This window comes from Homo sapiens, chromosome 12 (genome assembly GCF_000001405.40).
Source record: "Homo sapiens chromosome 12, GRCh38.p14 Primary Assembly".
Classification (NCBI taxonomy): Eukaryota; Metazoa; Chordata; class Mammalia; order Primates; family Hominidae; genus Homo; species Homo sapiens.
Genome location: NC_000012.12, coordinates 115,346,167 through 115,366,556, shown reverse-complemented (window position 1 = coordinate 115,366,556; position 20,390 = coordinate 115,346,167). Strand labels below are relative to the sequence as shown.

Sequence of the window (20,390 nt, the reverse complement as noted above, 5' to 3'; positions counted from 1 at the left end):
TGCCAGATATCTTAAATCATCTCGCTCAAGTTCAAAGTTCCACAAATCTCCAGGGCAGGAGCAAAATACCACCAGTCTGTTTGCTAAAACATAACAAGAGTTACCTTTGCTCCAGTTCCCAACAAGTTCCTCACGTCCATCTGAGACCACCTCAGCCTGGACCTTATTGTTCATATCACTATCAGCATTTTTGTCAAAGCCATTCAACAAGTCTCTAGGAGGTTCCATACTTTCCCATATTTTCCTGTCTTCTTCTGAACCCTCCAAACTGTTCCAGCCTCTGCCTGTTACCCAGTTCCAAAGTTGCTTCCACATTTTCGGGTATCTTTTCAGCAAAGCACCACTCTACTGGTACCAATTTACTATATTAGTCCATTTTTATACTGCTGATAAAGACATACCCAAGACTGGAAAGAAAAAGAGGTTTAATTGGACTTATAGTTCCACATGGCTGGGGAGGCCTCAGAATCATGGTGGGAGGTGAAAGGCTCTTCTTACATGGCAGCAGCAAGAAAAAAATGAGGAAGAAGCAAAAGCGGAAACCCTTGATAAACCCATCTGATCTCATGAGATGTATTCACTATCACGAGAACAGCGTGGAGAAGACTGGCCCCATGATTCAATTACCTCCCCCTGGGTCCCTCCCACAACACGTAGGAATTCTGGGAAAGAGAGTTCAAGTTGAGATTTGAATGGGGACACAGCCAAACCATATCAGGCACAGTGGGGAATGTCTTAGTAGGAAGGGTTGGTTAACCCTGTGATGGGAGTTGGTGCACATACTTGGAAGTGGAATTAGGCTGGGGGTGAAGTGTACTACATAATAAGAGGAGGCATTTGAGGCTCCATCAGAGGAACTGCAGGAGGAACGGGAAAGAAGCCAGGTACCGCATTGGGCAAAGGATGGAGAACACTTTCCACTGATGGAAGCACAAGGAGGAGTCAGCTATAGAGACTACTTGCCCAATGAGGAGCTTTCATTGTTTTTTGTTTGTTTGTTTGTTTTGTGTGTGTGTGTGTGTGTGTGTGTGTGTTTTTTTTTTTTTTTTTTTTTTTTTTGGTGAGTTTGTGATGTAAACATCCTCTCCCCTTTGCCCTGCGGAACCTTCAGCAAAATCTGCATAGCTCACCACTGAATGCTTTTGATGCGAACAGTTGTCTGCAAGAGCACTGACATCAGTTAAAACAGAGAAACCACGTGGGGCTGGCTGACTTCAGGCTTATATCTGTAAAATGAGGACAGTAGGTGGTCTCTCATCTACAGTGAAGGGTGAATGCAGACAGCATGGAACATGTAGCCAGCTACTCAGTACATGCTTCTTGAATGTATAAGCTCCCCATAGAATGTGAATGCAGTCTTTTTCTGGAACTGTTGCATTTTTCTCTCTGAGCAATGACAAACACTCAGATTTTTTTGAGCATTGGATTTCACGTTTACCTTGGCCTGGAGAGTGAGGCAGGAGCAGCTTGTGCATGCCGGAGGGTGCTCCAATACTTCTCTTGATCTTTTTTCCCCAGCCCTACCACACTACAGCCTCAAGCTAGTTCTGGCAACCTGGACTTTTCACTGCCTGAAATCCAATCCAACAGAACATTTTCTCATGGGAGAAAAACATTAATAGAGCTATTCGATGGAAATGTCTAGCTCTGAGAGGCATTTTTTTTTTTTTGGAAGGAAGGAAGACAATACTATATTACTGAGATAATTTTTCCCTTTCTTTCCAGAAATCCTATGATATCTCTGGATGTATTTCTCTCTCTCTCTCTCCCTCTTATTGTTTTTCTGAGGCAATAAATGCTAAATAGACTGATTGCACACCAAAACATTTTATCTATTCTAATGTATTCTGCTCTGTGAATGACTTTAACAGAACAGGTGCAAGGTACAAGCTGGTGCTGTGCAGGTTTCCTTTCAATAGGAATTTTGTTTTTGGAGGGTTCTGTAGATAAATGAATGCCAAAGGTTCATTCAGGCAACTACCTTTTACTCCCTCTTCCCAGGACTAAGTGATACAGTATTGATTCCTTGGGTTAAGAGAAAGTATAAGTTAACACGGGTGAGAAGCCGTTGCCTTTCTTCTCTCAGCACTAGCAGTATGAAAAACATTGGCCTCAAATTAATTTGAAGTCAAATTCTGTCTTTAGCTGGGGTGAAGGGAGAGAGGGAAGAATGGAGGGAAAAAATAACGGCTATGGGTACTTTACCCGTGAGTTGATGTCTCGCTTCTCATTTCAAAAAAAAAAAACAAACTCACTACATGGCATCTCCAGTCTCAAATACTGTCATGTGATCTAAGGGAGTCTTCACTACAATATGTGGGCTAGTTCTTTGCTGAATACCATGGAAGACCAAAGCTGATAGTGGTTGAAAACCTCTATATGTGACAACCTGAAGTCCAGTTTTGTAGAACTGGGAAGCTGATTGGAGAGAGAGGAGCACCTCCAGGAAACTTTTGCTTATAGCGGCTGCCATCAGGAATCTGAAAGTGCATCTATGAGACAACAGATAAATCAGCTCAGCAAGAAAATTAGTTTGTTAGGTTAAAAAATCAGTTAGATATTGTAATAATACATACTGACTAATGATATTATAAAAAGCTATTAATAATAATTATAACCATTATCAGTTGAATATTTAACAAATATCTGGATTTGACTATAATAAAATTAATTGACAGCATACAATGAGTATTTGCCATGTTCTAGAACACTTCTAGGATCTTTGTTGTATATTAAATCACTTAATTCTCACAGCAATCCTGATATGGGTTGGCTGTGTCCCTACCCAAATCTCTTCTTGAATTGTAGCTCCAATAATCTCCATGTTTTGTGGGAGGGACGAGTGGGAGGTAACTGAATCATGGGGGGTGGGTTTTGCCTGTGCTGTTCTAGCCATAGTCAATAAGCCTCATGAGATGTGATGGCTTTATAAAGGTGAGTTCCCCTGCACATGCTGTCCCTGCCTGCCACCATGTAAGACATGCCTTTGCTTCTCCTTTGCCTTCTGCCATGATTGTGAGGCCTCCCCAGCCACGTAGAACTGTGAGTCCATTACACCTCTTCTTCTTTATAAATTACCCAGTCTCCAGTATGTCTTTATTACCAGTATGATATCTAATACTGACTAATACAAATCCCATGAGGTAGGTACAAGTAATGTATAGATGGGGAAACTGAGGCACGGTGTGTCTAAAAGGAGATATTGTTAGTAACTGAATTAATCCTCATTGTGATTTTTGAGATAGGTAGCATAACTCCCATTTTGTGGGTGGGGAAATTGAGGCTGTGTAACTTGCCCAAAATTGCCCACACAGCCAGAAAGTAGCAGAGGTGAAGTTTGAACTTAGGTCTGCCAGGGTACTTCTAACACGGTACCATCTTGCCTCCTGGGCTGGCCTGGCATCTATAGACACACAGTGGGATGGCTGGACATGCTATTCATTCTTTAAACTTCTTCCCGTGACACCATACTGATCCCGAGGGGGAAAAAATGTTGAGATGTTTGGAGGGATTTTTAGCACCCGAGTATCTGCTGCCTCAAATGACCTGAAATGAGAACCAGCAAAAGAAATGAGGTCAGAATTTCACCCTCATAGGATCTTGCTCTTCTTTATCACTTTATCTTTCTTCTCGTACCCCTGAAAAGCCCTTAAAAAGGCAATTTGGTGATGCAGATTCTGCAAAAGATACCATGGAGGTTAATGAAATATGATTAAGCTCAAAAGCAGTCTTTAGAGCGGATGAGGACCTGTCAGAGATCCAATGCTCCAGCACCTGTTTTGAATAACCCTTCATTTCCCCTGAGCCATGCTGCCACCTTTATCAAACACTAAATCATTGAATAAAGTCTATTTCTGTGTCCACTCTTCTATCTCTTCGAGCACATTCTCTCAACCCTTCCTCCAATGCATATGATCTGATTATTGTTGCTAGTTAACATTATCATCTGGAAAGGCAAATACTTTCATCCTTGGAAAGAAATTCTTGGCTAAACTTGTACATTTACTCATCCAAAGGAACTTGAAAACTACTTTGCCACCCTCCTGCCCCTTAGTGGCAACTCACAAAAGTAATCACTGGTATTTTGTTTTAGAATTGCGTTGCATCTTAAACAATTGGAAGGAAATGACATCTTTAGAATGTTGAATCTTTTCATTCAATCAAATATTTTCATATGCCTTTTAGGAATGTTTAGTAATTTTTTGCATATGGTATTATATATTTTGTATTGTTTTCTAGGCATTTAATAAAAATGGTTGCTATTGAAGCTGAGTCCCTTTTATTTTTTAGCCATTTGTTGCTGTTTAAGAAAACTATTGATTTCTGAATGTTTTATGTAGTATCTGGCAATGCAACTAAACTCTTTATTGGGTTTTGATGATTTTCAATTGTTTCCTTTGTGTTTTCAGGTAGAATATTATATCATCTGCAAAGGACTTTTTTTTTTCCTTTTTTATGTCTATTAATCTATTTCTGTCTTATGAATTCTTATGTTGCCTACATCTCATCTCCCAGGAAAGATGTTAAATGCTAATGGTGATAGTGAATATCATTGTCTCAGTAGGTTGACATAACAGTAATTGTGATTTTTGCCATTAGTTTTGCACCAACCTAATATTTCAATTCTGACAAAAATACTTATACAAGTTGCTATTAAATAGCACTCTGCATGTGGTTTTAAGATAGGCAATCTTTAGAAAGTTTTACGAAAAATATCTATCCTTCTATTCCAAGTTTTCTGAAAGATGTTTTGGTAAAATGATGTTGATGTTTTTTAATGCCTTTTATGAATCTATCGAAATTATTATACATTTTTACTTTGGTATACAGATGAGCTATTTTATATTGTATTCTAGCATAAGCCCTCACTGAACATGAAGACTCGTGTTTTTAACGTAATATTTAAGTTAATTAGTAAGGATTTTTGCATTTATGATTCTAGGTGAGATTAGTCTGTAGCTTTCTTTTCTTGTATCAATTTGGTCTTCCGCTGTGTTGCCAGTGTCACAGCTGCAAAGAATGCAGTACGCAGTGATTCATCTTTCCCTATGGTCTAAAACAAATGTATACGTATGGCATGAAAATTACCAATGTATCCACGTTGAAAAACTGACTATTAAAATTGACCTCTGAATCTTTTTGGGGGATAAAGTTTTTGAATACTGTCTTCTATGATGCTTGTTCAATGACGCTTGTCCTCTGTTTCTTTAATCTGGTAACTTCTACTTCCAGAATATTGATTATTTTGTTGTGATGTAAATTATATGTGTGTATTTATATAGTGTGCTTTTTATTTTAAACATTATGGTCGTACAAACCATATATCTGATAAAAGGTTAACATGCAAAACATATAGGCCGGATGCGGTGGCTCACGTCTGTAATCCCAGCACTTTGGGAGGCCAAGGTGGGTGGATTACCTGAGGTCAGGAGTTGAAGACCAGCCTGGCCAACATGGTGAAACCTGTCTCTACTAAAAATACAAAAATTAGCTGGGCATGGTGGCACATGCCTGTAATCCCAGCTACTCGGGAGGCTGAGGCAGTATAATCACTTGAACCCGGGAGGCGGAGGTTGCAGTGAGCTGAGATCGGGCCATTGCACCCCAGCCCGGGCAACAAGAGTGAAAATCTGTCTCAAAACAAACAAACAAACAAACATGAGGAACTCCTACAACTCAATAGTAAAACAAACCCAAACCCCAAAACCCAAAACCAAATAACCTGATTAAAAAATTGGCAAAGGATCTGAGTAGACATTTCTCCAAAGAAAATATACAAATGGCCAACAGGTATATGAAAAGGCGCTCAACATCATCAATCATCAGCGAAATGCAAATCAAAACAACAATAAGACACCATCTCGCACCTGTTATCTCTTATGTATCACTTATTATCTCACTCCAAAGATAATAAATGTAAGTGAGGATGTGGAAAAAAGGGAGCCTTTGTACACTGCTGGTGGGAACGTAAATTGGCACAGCCAGTATGGAAAACAGTATGGAGGTTCCTACAAAAATTAAAAATAGAACTACCATAAACTCCAGCAATTTCACTTCTGAATATATATCCAAAAGAATTGAAATCAAGATCTCAAAGAGATATCTGCACTTCATTACAACGTAATGTTCATTGCAACATTATTCACAATAGCCAAGGCATGAAAGCAATCTCAATTCCCATTGATGGATGAATGCATAAAGAAAATGTGGTATATACATATACTTTTATTGAGACTTTAAAAAGAAGGAAATCCTACCTTTGTGACAACATCAATGAATCTGGAGACCATTATGCTAAATGAAATAAGCCAGGCACAGCAGGACAAATACCGCATAAACTTCTGTATACGACGAATCTAACTTAGTCAAACTCGTAGAAGCAGAGAGTACAATGGTGATTGCCAGGGGTTAGTGGGAAAGGAAATGGGGATCTGTTGGTCAAAGGGTACAAAGTTTAGTTATATGAGATAAATAACTCCTAGAGATCTACAGTACAGTATAGTGCCTACAGTTAATAATACTATATTACATACTTAAAAGTTTGTTAAGAGATTAGATCTTATGTTACCTGTTTTTATCACAAAAAATAGTAATAACAAATAAAAAGGGTGGGAGAAGCCTTTTGAAGGTGATAGATGTGTTTATGACATTGATTGTGGTGATGGTTTCACGAGTGTATGCCTATTTCCACACTTCTCAAGTTGTATACATTAAATATGTGCAGGTTTTTGAACATCAGTCATACCTCATTAAAGTGGTTAAAACTAGCCCTCATGTTTATATTTTTCTTTCTGTTTTCTAATATTATTTGTAGTTTCTTTATTCTCAGCTAGTTGTGTGTGTGTGTGTGTGTGTGTGTGTGTGCGCGTGTATGTGATTTTTTATATAGAGAGGGTCTAACTATGTTAACCCAGGCTGGTCTTGAACTCCTGGACTCTGCTCAACAATCCTGCCTTGGCCTCCCAAAGTGCTGGGATTACAGGCATGAGCCATTATACACCCAGCCTCTCTCAAATAGATTTACTTTACTAAATATCAACATTATTCAACACTTATGAACATTTGTAATAGCTACCAATGTGTGAGGCACTGTTTTTAGCACTTGACCTACATAAACTCATTTGAACCTCACACCAACCTAATTGAGTAGTTGGTAATTTCCTCCATTCTACAACTGAGTTATTGGACACACACAGAGGCCTAATGACTTGCCAAAATCACCCAATTAACAGGTGATGAAGGTAAAATTGAAGCCCAGATTATCTGGCCACAGAGCCTGGCTACATGGTACCAAATGTGTGATAGCTTAATTAATATTTAAAAGGCAGAAGAATTGATCTTATTGAAAAAGAGAGAAGGGAAATAAAATGATATGCAGAGATGTTAAATATGTCAATGGTCTACCTTCCAGGAGGATTGATCCAATAAATTTTTCCATTCATTTATTCATTCATTCATTTACTCATTAACTCACTATTTGATAGATGCTTTCCAAATATTTATTATACTCCTAACAACAATTCAGCCACTAATCCAGGTGCTTGAGAATCCTTGCCTTTGTGGATCTTACATTCTAGTTAGTGGGATGGAAGCAGGGGGAAAGTAGAGATGACAAACTTTTTGCCACAAAATATAACATGTAGATGGCATTTGGATACATGATTAGGCTACTAAATTCTGCTGTGCATGTGTATTTCTAGTCAGCTGTGTTTATTCTATAGATGATCCTGTTCTACAAATAGTTACTAGCATGTGCAGGGCTGTATTCATCCATTCTCTCTTTGTTATACAGAACTATCTGAGACGGGGTAATTTACAAAAAGAAAAGAGGTTTAATTGGCTCACATTTCTTCAGGCTGTACAGGTTCTGGGGAGGCCTTGGGAAACTTACAATCATGATGGGAGGCAAAGGGGAAGAAGGCAACATCTTACATGCCCAGAGCAGGAGGAAGAGAGCTAAGGTGGAGGTGTTACACACTTATAAACAAGCAGATCTTGTGAGGACTCACTCACTATCATGAGAACAGCAAGTGGGAAATCCACCCCCATGATCCAATCACCTCTCACCAGACCCCTCCTCCAACACTGGGTATTATAATTCAATATGAGATGTGGGCAGGGACACAAATCCATATCAAGGGCCCTGGAGTAAATGTAGGAGCCAGACAAGCACTAGATGAGGAAACCGGGACTTGAAAAATTTAAATCTGTCCAACTTCTCATAGGAGGTAGTAGAGTTGGACTTATCTATGTGACTTTCACAGGGAACAAAGAATTGGAGTCTGACGCACCTCTACTAGGGCTCTGCACAAAAGAGAAATTAATCCAAATTCGTTGAATGAATGAATGATATAATTCTCAGACTTCCAGGGAGGTCAACATGATTTTAGAGAATTCCAATAATCAAAAGCTCATTCTGAGAAAAGCTGAACTCGACCTCAGTGCCCATAGGAAGCAGAGACATTTAGCTGGTACCAGGAGACCTTTAAATAATGACGTGCACACTCCAGGCGCTCTCAGATTGAAAGAGACAGGCATCTCAGTGGCTTTCCCTGGGCCTCGCCTCCCCCTTTGGTCATCAAGGCAGACTGGAGCTGCAGACGGGACCCGCTGCCTTCAACACGGGCCTTGCATTAGATGCGTGTCAACAGAGATTAGCTCAGCCTCACATGCCACCATTTGCCATTTGTTAGGCCACCTTCACCAACCCCGTAATCTAATCTTGGCTGGAGCAATGCCTCTTCCAGGTTAAATGTATTAAAGGAGCCGGGGGACGTGGGCTGTTCAAGGCGGCCGTGGCTTCTCCCTTTCTGACAAGCCTGACCCCACTCCAAACCCCTCATCCCCAAGAGACACCAGGGGTCAGAACCTCCTTGGTGTAGAAGGGAGCAAAATGCTAACAGAGAGAGACGAGAGGATATTGGAAACATATTCTCTGGGCCTCCGTGCTTTAGAAATTCGAGAAGAACAGGAGGTGACAAGTTAAAGCTTTCACTGCTGGAAATATTTTTCTTTTCCATGTTTCAACAAGAATTTGATAAAGATATTTGTGAGGTTGGAGAGGAGAGGAGGAAGCAGAGAGAGTCCTAAAGCAGATGGTACCTGAAGGAAAGGAAGGATACTTTAGACACCTTTAGAGGAAATTTATGGGGGACAACTTTCCATGGCACACATCCATTCTTATTACATGTGTTTTTAAATCATGTGACATTTTTAAGCAAGTAAATGTTTCATCAGCAAATTATGCATTTATTTTTCCTCTGAGTTCCTTTGAATCCCTGACTTGGTGTAGGGGGATATCTGTGTAGTTTCCTGTTATTCTCACTCCACTTTATTAAGAGTCGAGATGAATGATTTCCCTTTTTCTTCTGAACATACCTGGAACCCTCCAATGGCTGTCGTTGTTCTCATGTTGTTTTTCCTGCCCCCAAATCTCCCTCTACCCCCATTCCTCATTCATCTCTGCAAATCCAAGTTTAGTAGGTTTTATCTCCTATTTATCATTTTTTAACTCCATTCTTGAAAAGTTTGAGAACCACTATCTTGGGCCAGCCACCATCATTTCGAAAATGGTACCAAAAAAGTTCATTTTAAAAATATTTAAATTCATGGACCATCAGAGAATGGCACAGGTCTCAAGTGTCCAGCTTAATAAATTGTCACAAACTAAACACATCGTGTAACCAGCACCCATGAGAAACAGAACCTCATCAAACCCCTTGTATCCCTCTTTGCCCGAGGGCAACTGGTATCTGGACTTGTAACACCATAAACTAGTATGATTTCTTTTTATACTTTACCTAAGTGGAATTTTAAGGCATGCCCTCTCTTGTGTCTCATTTTTGTGAGAGTCATTTGTGTTATTGTGGGTAGTTGTAGATCATTCTTTTTAATCTCTGCATAGGACTCATTGTGTGAATAGGCCACAGTTATTCAATGATTTCTTAATTCTACTGTTAACAGGCATTGGGAAGTTTTCAGTTAGGAATTCTTGATTTTTATTTTATTTATTTATTTATTTATTTTTGAGATGGAGTCTCGCTCTGTAGCCCAGGCTGGAGTGCAGTGGCGTGATCTCGGCTCACTGCAACCTCTGCCTCCCAGGTCCAGGTTTAAGCAATTCTCCTGCCTCAGCCCCCCGAGTAGCTGGGATTACAGGCACATGCCACTATGCCCAGCTAATTTTTGTATTTTTAGTAGAAATGGGGTTTCACCCTGTTGGCCAGGCTGGTCTTGAACTCCTGACCTCATGATCCGCCCAACTCGGCCTCTCAAAGTGCTGGGATTACAGGCATGAGCCACCGCACCCCAGCCAGGAATTCTTATAAATTCTACAACTATGAATAGTCCAGGTCCTGTCTTCTGGTGAGCATATTATATACCAGAGAGTTCTTTTTCAAATCACAAAAGTCCAATTGTTCCCCTCTTTCAAATGGTTTAACAGATCCTCATTGCTTTAAAGATAAAGACAAAACAGCCTTCAAGGGTCTAGGGAATCTGGCCTCTGCTGACTTCTCTATCCCAACAACAGGTATCAGAAGCATAACTGTGTGCAGAGACCAGGCAGGGAATATAAATGAGAGAAGTGGAAGACAAGTGGGAAGCAGTAGAGATGGGTGGAGACTATGGCAAATTAGAGAGACAAGAAGTAGAAGATACATATTCTTGGCTGACAGTTGACACATGCAAATCTGGGCCCACTGTGACCAGATTTTCCCCCATTTAAAATATAAGTTGAAAGTTTATATGTTTATGTGAAATCTGCCCATTTTTGAATGATAACCATTTCAAAAATATTTTTCAACAGCACATGAATGTCCCAAAACACACATTTTGAAGGGTAGCGTTTGGCTCTTGAATCTGCAGTTTGGAACCACTGGCCCTTATTTATCCTTCCAGACTCTGAATTCCTATTACCCCCTGCATTGCCTACTGAACTGCTCTTACCTCCTCAAACTCCCCATGTTCTTAACCCTGAGCTTTGCATTTTCTATTTCTTCTGCCTGGAGCATTTTATCCCTTGCAGACTCTTTCGCTCTTAGTCACCATCTTCCATCAGGAAATCCCATCTGAATCCTCGAAGTGAGTAAAGGGATCCTCTGGTACATTCTTAAGGCATTCTGCCTTACTCTTGTCATAGCACCTAAAACAGTGCCCAGGACTTCAACAGGCCAGGCACATAGAAGGTGCTCAACAAATAGTACATGATTAATGACATTTACAGAACTGGAATTGTGTTTACATGTCTATGTCCCCTATAAATAACAAAACAGATCCCTGTCACATCTCTGCTTAAAACCTGCTGTAAACTTCTTAACAATTTCAACAACAAATATTAGAATCTCAAATGGCGACAGGGACGTGGCGAGTAAGAAATGTATAAAGCAGGCTAAGGGGAACGATAGGGAGTCACCGGGACTGTGGCAAACTGAAGAGTGCCTGAAAGATCCTTGACTAATGGGAGAACATCTTAATCTTCATTGCCCATCACAATACCTAGAACATGGTAGGTCCTCATTAAATATATTCTCACTCTAGGTTTTCAAGAGATCAGTGGAACAATTCATATATGGGGTGCAGTATTTCCTACCCACACTCCAGAATGGCATACACCAAGGATAGGGTAATAAAAGGCACATTTGGCAATACAACTGAAGGCAGAGAGAGCAAGAGAGCAGACAGGCTTTTGGCATAATAGCACATCGATAGGTGAAGAGAAACTGAAAGTCATACTTGGAAGATGATGTGACACCATCCCCATTGTCCTTTCCAGAGATGAGCCTGATGGACTTGAATTACTGACAACCCACAGCAGAAGCTGAAGGGGTGAGCAGGTGCCCTGGTTAGGTGAGAAAGAGATGGAGAGAACTGAGCCATGGAGAGGGATGGAGGAGAGAGCCCCAAGATGTGGTCATGAGGCAGGAAGTACCTGGTTATGAGGAACTGGGGTGGTGTTTGAAAGAAAGAGTCCAGGAAGGGTGCCCCTGAGGATGTGCCTTTTGTACTTTGTTAAATAAATAATGAGAAACAGCCATGTCTCAGGCAGAGAGAAGCTCAGGAACAAAGATCCTGGGACAGAAACCGGCTTGGCATTTTGGGGAAACAGAAACAAAAACCAGGGGAACTGGGTGGGTTGAGGCTGGGGAGCCTGGGACAAGGTGGGCTCTGAGCAATGCTCCAGGGCTGGGTGGGAATGCAGCCTCAGTGCCGTTTGGCGGAGTGTGGATTTTACTTTCAGTTAGGCAGGAGCTTGCTCATTCTGAACTCTAGCTCTCTGCTTTGGAGGTGACTCAGCTGCCCCCTTGTTTTTTCTCTGATTCTTGGCTTCTCTTCCTAGTACCATTGCTCACGCTCTTTCCTCCATGCCTGGGCCCCACCCAACCCCACTGAATCATTCTTTCTGGAGGAGGAGCCCAGACTTGTGTAAGTTACTAAAGCTCTGCATGTGATCCTCATGTACATTCAATATAGGGAACCAGTGGATCTCTCTCGCTCTCTCTTTCTCTCCCTGTCTCTCTCTGACACTGTTTCTGTCTCTGTCTCTCTCTCTCCCCCTTTCTGTCTCTCCTTCTGTGTGTGTGTATACATACATGCATACATATATGTATCTGTATATCTATATACACAGTATTTATATACATAATTATATATATGATTATCTACCCATCCATTCACCCCACCTATTATCTGTGTATCTATCTGTCTGTCTGTCTATCTATCTATGTATCTATCTCTATCATCTATCTATCTATCTGTCTATCTATCTATCTATCTAATCTAATCTATCTACGTACCTACCTATCATCTACTATCATATAGCTATCCATGTTTGTTTTATCTATCTATCCATTTTTAATTAAGCAAAAAAGAAAACTTCAAAGAATAGTAAAATGACATCATCTTTATGTCTCTTAGTATAACATTGATATAAACAATAAAAAGGAAACACAAGGAAAGAAAGAATGGGTAGGTCTCACTAAATAAAGACCTCATTTTGTTATCATTTGCAGCACTACAATGATTAATCAGGTACCTGAATATTTTGGCAGATTCATTTGGATTTCCTTAGGAAAAATTTCCATAAGTGGAATTGCTTATTCAAGGAGTATTAAGTTTTAAAAACTTTCAATACATATTGTCAAATTGTTCCCTTAGCACTTACACCAAATCAGGTCTCCCCAATATCATTTATTTATTTATTTATTTTTTAAAAGATAACTAAAAGGCAAGAGACATACTGGAAATAATTTTAGCTACATATATATTCAACAAAGGGTTAAGTGCTCTTTTACATAAAGCAGTCATAGAATAAGCAAAATTCTAAAACCCCAAAGGAAAATAAAATGGAACTGGGACATAAACTAATAAGTGAAAAAGAATGAAAATTTTGCTAATGAATATTTAAAACTATATATATTCACACACATTAGTTACCAGAGAAACACAAGCCATAATTGCAATAACATATTTTACTCTCAAATTTGTGATTAAAACCTACTTATCATTCTTGTGAGAGTGTGATGAAATGGACATTCATAGAATGCTGATGGGAATCTGAATTGGTATAAGCTCTAGGGTAGCATTTTGACACTGCATAGCAAAACTCTTAAAAGCATTCATTTTTCTTAACTGGATGATTCTACTTTTAGTGTTTTTTTCTAAAGAAATAAATATGCAGAAATATTTTGCCATCAGCTAATTCATTGTTGCAAATAATAGCAGAGTTGGTATGACCTTTATGGAAAACAGTATGGAGGTTCCTCAAAAAATTAAAAATAGAGGCTGGGCGTGGCGGCTCACGCCTGTAATCCCAGCACTTTGGGAGGCCGAGGTGGACATATCACCTGAGGTCGGGAGTTCAAGACCAGCCTGACCAACATGGTGAATCCCCGTCTCTACTAAAAATACAAAATTAGCCGGGCATGGTAGCGCATGCCTGTAATCCCAGCTACTTGGGAGGCTGAGGCAGGAGAATCGCTTGAACCCAGGAGGTGGAGGTTGCAAGCTGAGATCACGCCATTGCACTCCAGCCTGGGCAACAAGAGCAAAACTCCGTCTCGAAAAAAAAAAAAAATAGAGCCACCATATGATCCAGAAATCTCACTACTGGTTATACATCCAAAGGAAGTGAAATCAGCGTGTCAAAGAGATCACTGAACTCCCATCTCCCATGTTCGTGGCAGCATTAGTCACAACAGCCAAGTTATGGAAGCAACCTATGCCCACTAACAGAGCAACATATAGATGAAGAAAATGTGGTAGATATACACTGTGGAATAATATTCAGCTTTATTTTAAAAATCCTGTCATTTGTGGCAATGTGCAAGAAACTGGAGGACATTATGCTAAGTGAAATAAGCCAGCCACAGAACGACAAATATTGCATGATCTCTCATTTATATGTGGAATCTAAAAACATTTAACCCATATAAACAGAAAGTAGAATGCTGGTTTTCAGGGGCTAGTGGAGGGGGTGTGGTTGTTGGGGAGATGTTTGCCAAAAGACACAAAATTTCAATTAGATAACAGGAATAAATTCAGAAGATCAGCTTTACAACCGAGTGACTAGAGTTAATGATGTACTGTGTTCTTAAAGAAGAAAAAAATATAATGGCCAAAAAAATTAGAACCTGAATATTCAACAAAAAAGACTGGTTAAATACGTCATAGAATATTACAGCCTGAGAAAATGATGTCATCTATAAAATCCAAGATATAGAAATGATAAGAAAAAAAGACAGTATGCAAAAATGTGCGTACAGAGTGATCTCCATTTAAAACACAGTCACTCCCAGCTTATGCAAGAGTTTTTATTTTGGAAAGTCTTGTGCAATTCAAATTTTGCATAAGTCAAAAAGATCCTTTGTAGTCACTGCATATTTTAAAGTTGCAAAACTTTTGATGTGCCTTTTGTGTGCATGTAATTCGAACTGTCATTCAGATTTTTTCCTTTTTATTGTTGAAGTAGCCAGGGTTCACAAGAAAGGGAGCGAAGAGTTTTTTGAATATCACCCATAGTGTTGGTTGTTTAATCAGTGCTTGGTAAACACTTGTTGGATTTATTTGTAGGAGGCTGTGATGGTTTTACTGATGCTTATCAAATATTTCTGGCTCTTCATCTTTCCCAAATGTAATAGACAATCTCAGCTCTCCTTGCAGTTAGTTAGGGTCATGTGATTAAATCTAGCCAATGAGTTGTGAACTTCTTGATGGGCATTTAATGCCAGTGAGAGATCCACCAGAGATCTTTTTTCCTCTGCTCTTGAGAATGGCAGTATTCCAAATGATAGTTCCTCCATTATCCTTATTCTTAAAGGGAGGATGGCATGGAGCAGAGCCCTCAGCCAGCCTGTGATGAACATGCAGCATGCACAAGAAATGAGCCCTTGTTATTTCAATCCATCAAGATTTGGGGGATGTTTGTTACTGCCACAAATCCTAGCCCCTTGACACTCAAAGAGTGACCTGCAGACTGGCTGCATCAGCCTCATCTGGGGGTTTGTTAGAAATTCAGAATCTTGGACCCTTCTTTCAGACCTGCTGAATCAGGGACTGCATTTTTTTTGTTTTTTTGTTTTTTTGTTTTTGTTTTTGTTTTTTTGAGACAGAGTCTCACTCTGTCACCCAGGCTGGAGTGCAGTGGTGAGATCTCAGATCACTGCAGCCTCCGCCTCTTGGGTTCAAGCGATTCTCATGCCTCAGCCTCCTGAGTAGCTGGGACTACAGGGATGCACCACCATGCCCAGCCAATTTTTGTATTTTTTGGTAGAGACAGGATTTCACCATATTGGCCTGTCTGATCTTGAACTCCTGACCTCAAACGATCCACCCACCTCAGCCTCCCAAAGTGCTGGGATTACAGGCATGGGCCACTGCACCCAGATCTAGGAGCTGCATTTTAATAAGGGGCCTCGGGTGATCTGTGCACATAATAAGAATCCCAGAGTTCTGCTCTAGCCTATCTGGAATGATACTCAGGCGAAGGGAGGCAGAATCCGTGGAAGTTGAGAAGTGTACGCAGAAGCCTGCATTCCAGCAGGTAAGTCACTTAGCTTCTCTGAGTCTCAGTTTTCTCATAGAGATTACAGTGAGAATCCAATAAAAATAACATACACTTCATAATGTATATTTTAAAATAAAATATATTATGTATATTTACTATTATATATATTTACCAATAATGCACATTCAATAATGTACATCATGGGTCCTAGTAAATGCTCAATAAATGATCGTGGGCATTATCATGTCAGAAAGGGTATAGATTGCCAAATGCCGGGACTGGAGTCTTGGCTTTCTAAAGATCTTTTCCATTACCTCTGCAGCAAGAACGACATCTTCTAAAGACTCAAGATGGCCTCTAATGTAAGGATTCAGTAAATATTGATTAACTAACCCACCCACGATGAGGTTCCTGTCAACCACTTAATCACCTTCAAATGGCATGTTTATTTACTTAATTCTTCTTCTGCCCTGTTTCTGCAGCTTCATGGCCTAATTCCCTGATCCTCCAACCAGGAGGCCTCCCCAGGCCTGAAAGAAGTGTTTGTAAAGGTAAGAACAGCTGTTAGCTTTGCATGCTTTTGTAGGATCAATGTTCTATCCCTCTTATGCCTACAGAGGGCCACTTTCTCTGAGAACTATGGAGAAATTGTTCAGCAGTAGCTAATAAACACACACACACACACACACACACACAAAACACACACACACTCTTTCTATTTCTATCTAAGGCAGAGAAAAGTGAATACCCCAGGGAAAGGACCTGGGTAAACACAATGGTGATTAGACTGTTCACCACTTGCTTTTCCTGGAGAGAACGTCTATAGTATGTTTGTTCATTCCACCCTAAATCTTCCTGTGAGGAAGAAAATGCAGGGATTATTTATCTTTTTGTATTATGGAGAAACTGAAGTTAAGTGGCTCCCTAAGGCCATAGAAGACAGTGCCTACCAGGGCAGTGTTTGGAGTCAGGCAGGCCTGGGGATGAAGCAAGGGACCACCGAGGACGAGCCTGCGGCATCCTGAGTGCAGTATTTAACTCTCTAAGCCTCAGTTTCCACATGCAGCTCCTCCCGGCTGGGAAAGCCCCGCCCCATGCACTCTGTGATGTCGATTTTGAGTTGTTTTTAAAATGAAGGGGTTGGATGCAATTATCTTTACAGAACTTTCCCATGCATGGAGCGTTAACTCATCTAATCTTCCTAATGAGAAGAAGAAATTGAGACAGAATCAGAGAGAAGAAATATAGGGGAAGAGAGAGAGAGAAAGAGAGAGAGAGGGAGAGCTGCTTATGGGAAACAGCATTTCATCCTTTATTAATAACAACCACATAAACCCAAACTACACTCAAAAAACTGAAGCCCACTATGAGAAGGAAATGATGCTGAATCTCTGACACGGGGACCAGCAGTCCCAGTTTGCCAGGGACTAAGGAATTCCTAGGACATGGGACTTTCAGTGCTAAAAGTCCCAGGAAACCCAAGGTGAGTTGGTCACCCTCATCTTTGATCAGGCCACAGAGATTACAAACTGGCCCAGAAAAGGTGGCATTTCAGGGAATGCTGGGGCATATGTAAAAGAGAGTGTGGCTAGAAATTTCAAGAGAGGAATTGAAAATCTCCATGGGCACCCACCACCCTCCTTCCTCATGCATGGCCTTGTCTGAGCTGAGGTTTGCAAGGGTGGGGTTGCTGGGCCAGGGGTTGGATCAATTTTTGGTAGGAGAGGGAGGTGGAGAGAGAATGGGAGGAATTGAAGCACAGAAGCTCTTTAGAAGGTAGACACCAACTAGCAAAACTCTAAGAATACATTCAAAATTGGAAATCATGAATGTATCACAAGACATTTTTTAAAAAGATGGGGATCATGTAATTATAGAGGAGACGAAGGCTTGCTTTTCCCTGGCATTCCCTTCTGGCAGGGAAAGAAACCAACAGGGCAACTTCATCACGCTGATTCCTTCACGCTCTGGCAGGCAAGTGATAAAATTATCAGATGAGGGTCCCCAGTCTCGTCTCCTACAGCCACTTTCGCCAAGTGTGCCGTGTCTAAAATAATGAAGGTGGCCTGATTAAATGTTCCCTGGCTGCAACCGCTGTGCTAATTTGGAGATGGGCTTATTAGTTTAATGACCGCTCCAAATCATCAGAATTCATTAGCGTTAGTGCCGCGGCTTCATCCGACCTCAGCCCAAGGCTCCAGGCTGCCACCTTCGCCGTCGCCATGTCTCTATTTATATCACCCCTACTTCTCGGGGAGGACAGTGTGTGTGTGCGTGTGTGTGTGAGAGAGAGAGCAGGCACGCATACACGTGTATATGTGTGTGTACACATGCCAGCACCACAACTGGGACTTTCTATGCACTTTATCTGCGTAATGATTTTAGCTTTTCTTCCCCCAAAGAAAAGTTGTTGTAGCCTTTTTCTGTTTTTAACACCTCAATACATGTGCAAAGAGGGGCTCCTAAAGTGCTTTGGTGAAATATTCTTTTTCATTAGACTAAGGAGGGGAAAACCCAAATTGCTTACAGTGACCCACAGGCTCTACCTGGCCACCTACCCTCCACCTGCTGGGGGGTATCTGATTTCATCTCCTGCACAGTTCTTTTCCTCACTCTCCTCCAGAGGCACAGACTTCCCATAATGCTCCTCAAACATACCAGGCATGATTGCCACCTCAGGACCTTTGCACTCACTGCCTCCTCTGCCTGAAACTCCTTCCCGAGATGGCATCATGGAATACTCCCTTACCCCCAATTGTTGTTCAAATGTCACCTCGGGGAGGCCTATTCTGGCCATCTTATTTAAAATCATAACCTCCCTAATACCTCCCCCTCCACTTCACTCTGCCTTATTTATTCCTATCAAATACACTATGTAATTTACATACATATCATATTTAATGCCTGACCCCCCCTACACACACTGTGTCACTGTTGCCTGTTTTGTCTACTGTTATATTCCCAGTGCTTAGAACTACCAGAGAGTTGGTGCTCAATACATAGTTGTTGAATGAATAAATGAATGATCCCATAAATGCATGAATGGTGTCAATATACAAGGAAATAAGGATCACCGTGGACTCAGCGGAAGTCTTTTATAGATTGCCTTTCAGCTGAGCTGTCACCGGTGGTGTTACTTGGCACAGATGAAGGTGAACAGGCCAATGTAATTCTCTCTCTTTCTGTAAGTTAGCTGGGAGGACACTGAGTGGCGGTGACAGGGAAGTTTGGGAGCTAAAAGGTTGTACAGAGAGATTGTGTGGGGCAAAGCTAAGGCCGGAGGAACCATGGTAACTTGGAAGATGCAAGGAAGGAGGTGCTATAAGGGACAAGGAAGATATACAGGTGAGGAAATGAGGAAGACACTCAAACGTGAAAAGTGAATAGAACTGAGTTACATTAGGAGAGTAAAGGTCTCCAAATGACTGGCCCTGGATATTTACTCCAGCAACATTGTAGCTAGTGTCACTTTCCAAGAGGTTTTTCTCTACTTTGCTTTTGTTTGGGGTGTTCTATGAGATTTTCCCTTTCATATCTCTCTTTCTATCCACCACCCTCTTGGGGTTATAAAGTAGGTTGTTAGACAACAAAAAGACCCTTGCTAAAATATAGGGGCTGAGAATTCTAACTTGTATTTGACTTGATTCTTCTTTTTCTCATCTGTAAAATGGGTCAGCTGTAGGTCAAATACTAGTGGTCTCCAGAAACATAGCTTAACCCTTCTAGGAACAGAGAGGTCTACAGATCTCTGCCCCTGTGGGTTCATACAAAGAAAAGGGGTATAATGAGAGATGGGGTATAATGCAGAAAGATGTTTTTGAGTGCAATTGCTTTGTCTTTAAAATAAACTTTTAATTATGACAAAAGCGATAAGGATTCAATGTAGAAAACATGGGAAATGCAGAGATAATAAGGAATATTTTGTTCCTTGGAGTATTTTGCTCCTTCCTTCCTTCCCTCCTTCCTTCCTTCCTTCCTTCCTTCCTTCCCTCCCTCCTACCTTCCCTCCCTTTCTCCCTCCCTCCATTCTTTCCTTCCTTCCTTCCTTCCCTCCCTCCCTCCCTCTTTCTTTCCTTCCTTCCTTCCTTCCTTCCTTCCTTCCTTCCTTCCTTCCTTCCTTCTTTCTTTCTTTCTTTCCTTTCTTTCTTTCTTTCTTTCTCTTTCTTTCTTTCTTCTTGACAGAATCTCACTCTGTCGCCCAGGTTAGAGTGAAATGGTGCAATCTTGGCTCACTGCAACCTCCACCTCCCGAGTTCAAACAATTCTTCAGCCTCCCGAGTAGCTGGGATTTCAGGTGCCCACCAACACACCCAGCAAATTTATATATTATTAGTAAAGACGTGGTTTCGCCATGTTGGCCAGGCCGGTCTCGAATGACCTCAAGTAA

General features: G+C 40.9%; 1 long non-coding RNA gene across 1 annotated transcript in view, besides 4 other annotated features; it reads left to right on the top strand.

Moving 5' to 3' along the window:
- LOC124903082 (uncharacterized) overlaps positions 11,519-20,390 on the top strand; it is an 85,010-nt gene continuing 76,138 nt past the window's right edge. The window contains exons 1-2 of the long non-coding RNA XR_007063592.1: positions 11,519-11,826; positions 16,486-16,554. This is a non-coding gene — a long non-coding RNA (uncharacterized LOC124903082). The remainder of the gene's footprint in view (positions 11,827-16,485; positions 16,555-20,390) is intronic.
- Positions 11,606-11,655: an enhancer, noted in NCBI's record as "active region_7081". NCBI's record gives its function as "activates an Ori minimal core promoter by ATAC-STARR-seq in GM12878 lymphoblastoid cells {active_cell/tissue: GM12878}" and the evidence as "EXISTENCE:reporter gene assay evidence [ECO:0000049][PMID:35858748]".
- Positions 11,686-11,735: an enhancer, noted in NCBI's record as "active region_7080". NCBI's record gives its function as "activates an Ori minimal core promoter by ATAC-STARR-seq in GM12878 lymphoblastoid cells {active_cell/tissue: GM12878}" and the evidence as "EXISTENCE:reporter gene assay evidence [ECO:0000049][PMID:35858748]".
- Positions 11,946-12,185: an enhancer, noted in NCBI's record as "active region_7079". NCBI's record gives its function as "activates an Ori minimal core promoter by ATAC-STARR-seq in GM12878 lymphoblastoid cells {active_cell/tissue: GM12878}" and the evidence as "EXISTENCE:reporter gene assay evidence [ECO:0000049][PMID:35858748]".
- Positions 12,346-12,465: a silencer, noted in NCBI's record as "silent region_4897". NCBI's record gives its function as "represses an Ori minimal core promoter by ATAC-STARR-seq in GM12878 lymphoblastoid cells {active_cell/tissue: GM12878}" and the evidence as "EXISTENCE:reporter gene assay evidence [ECO:0000049][PMID:35858748]".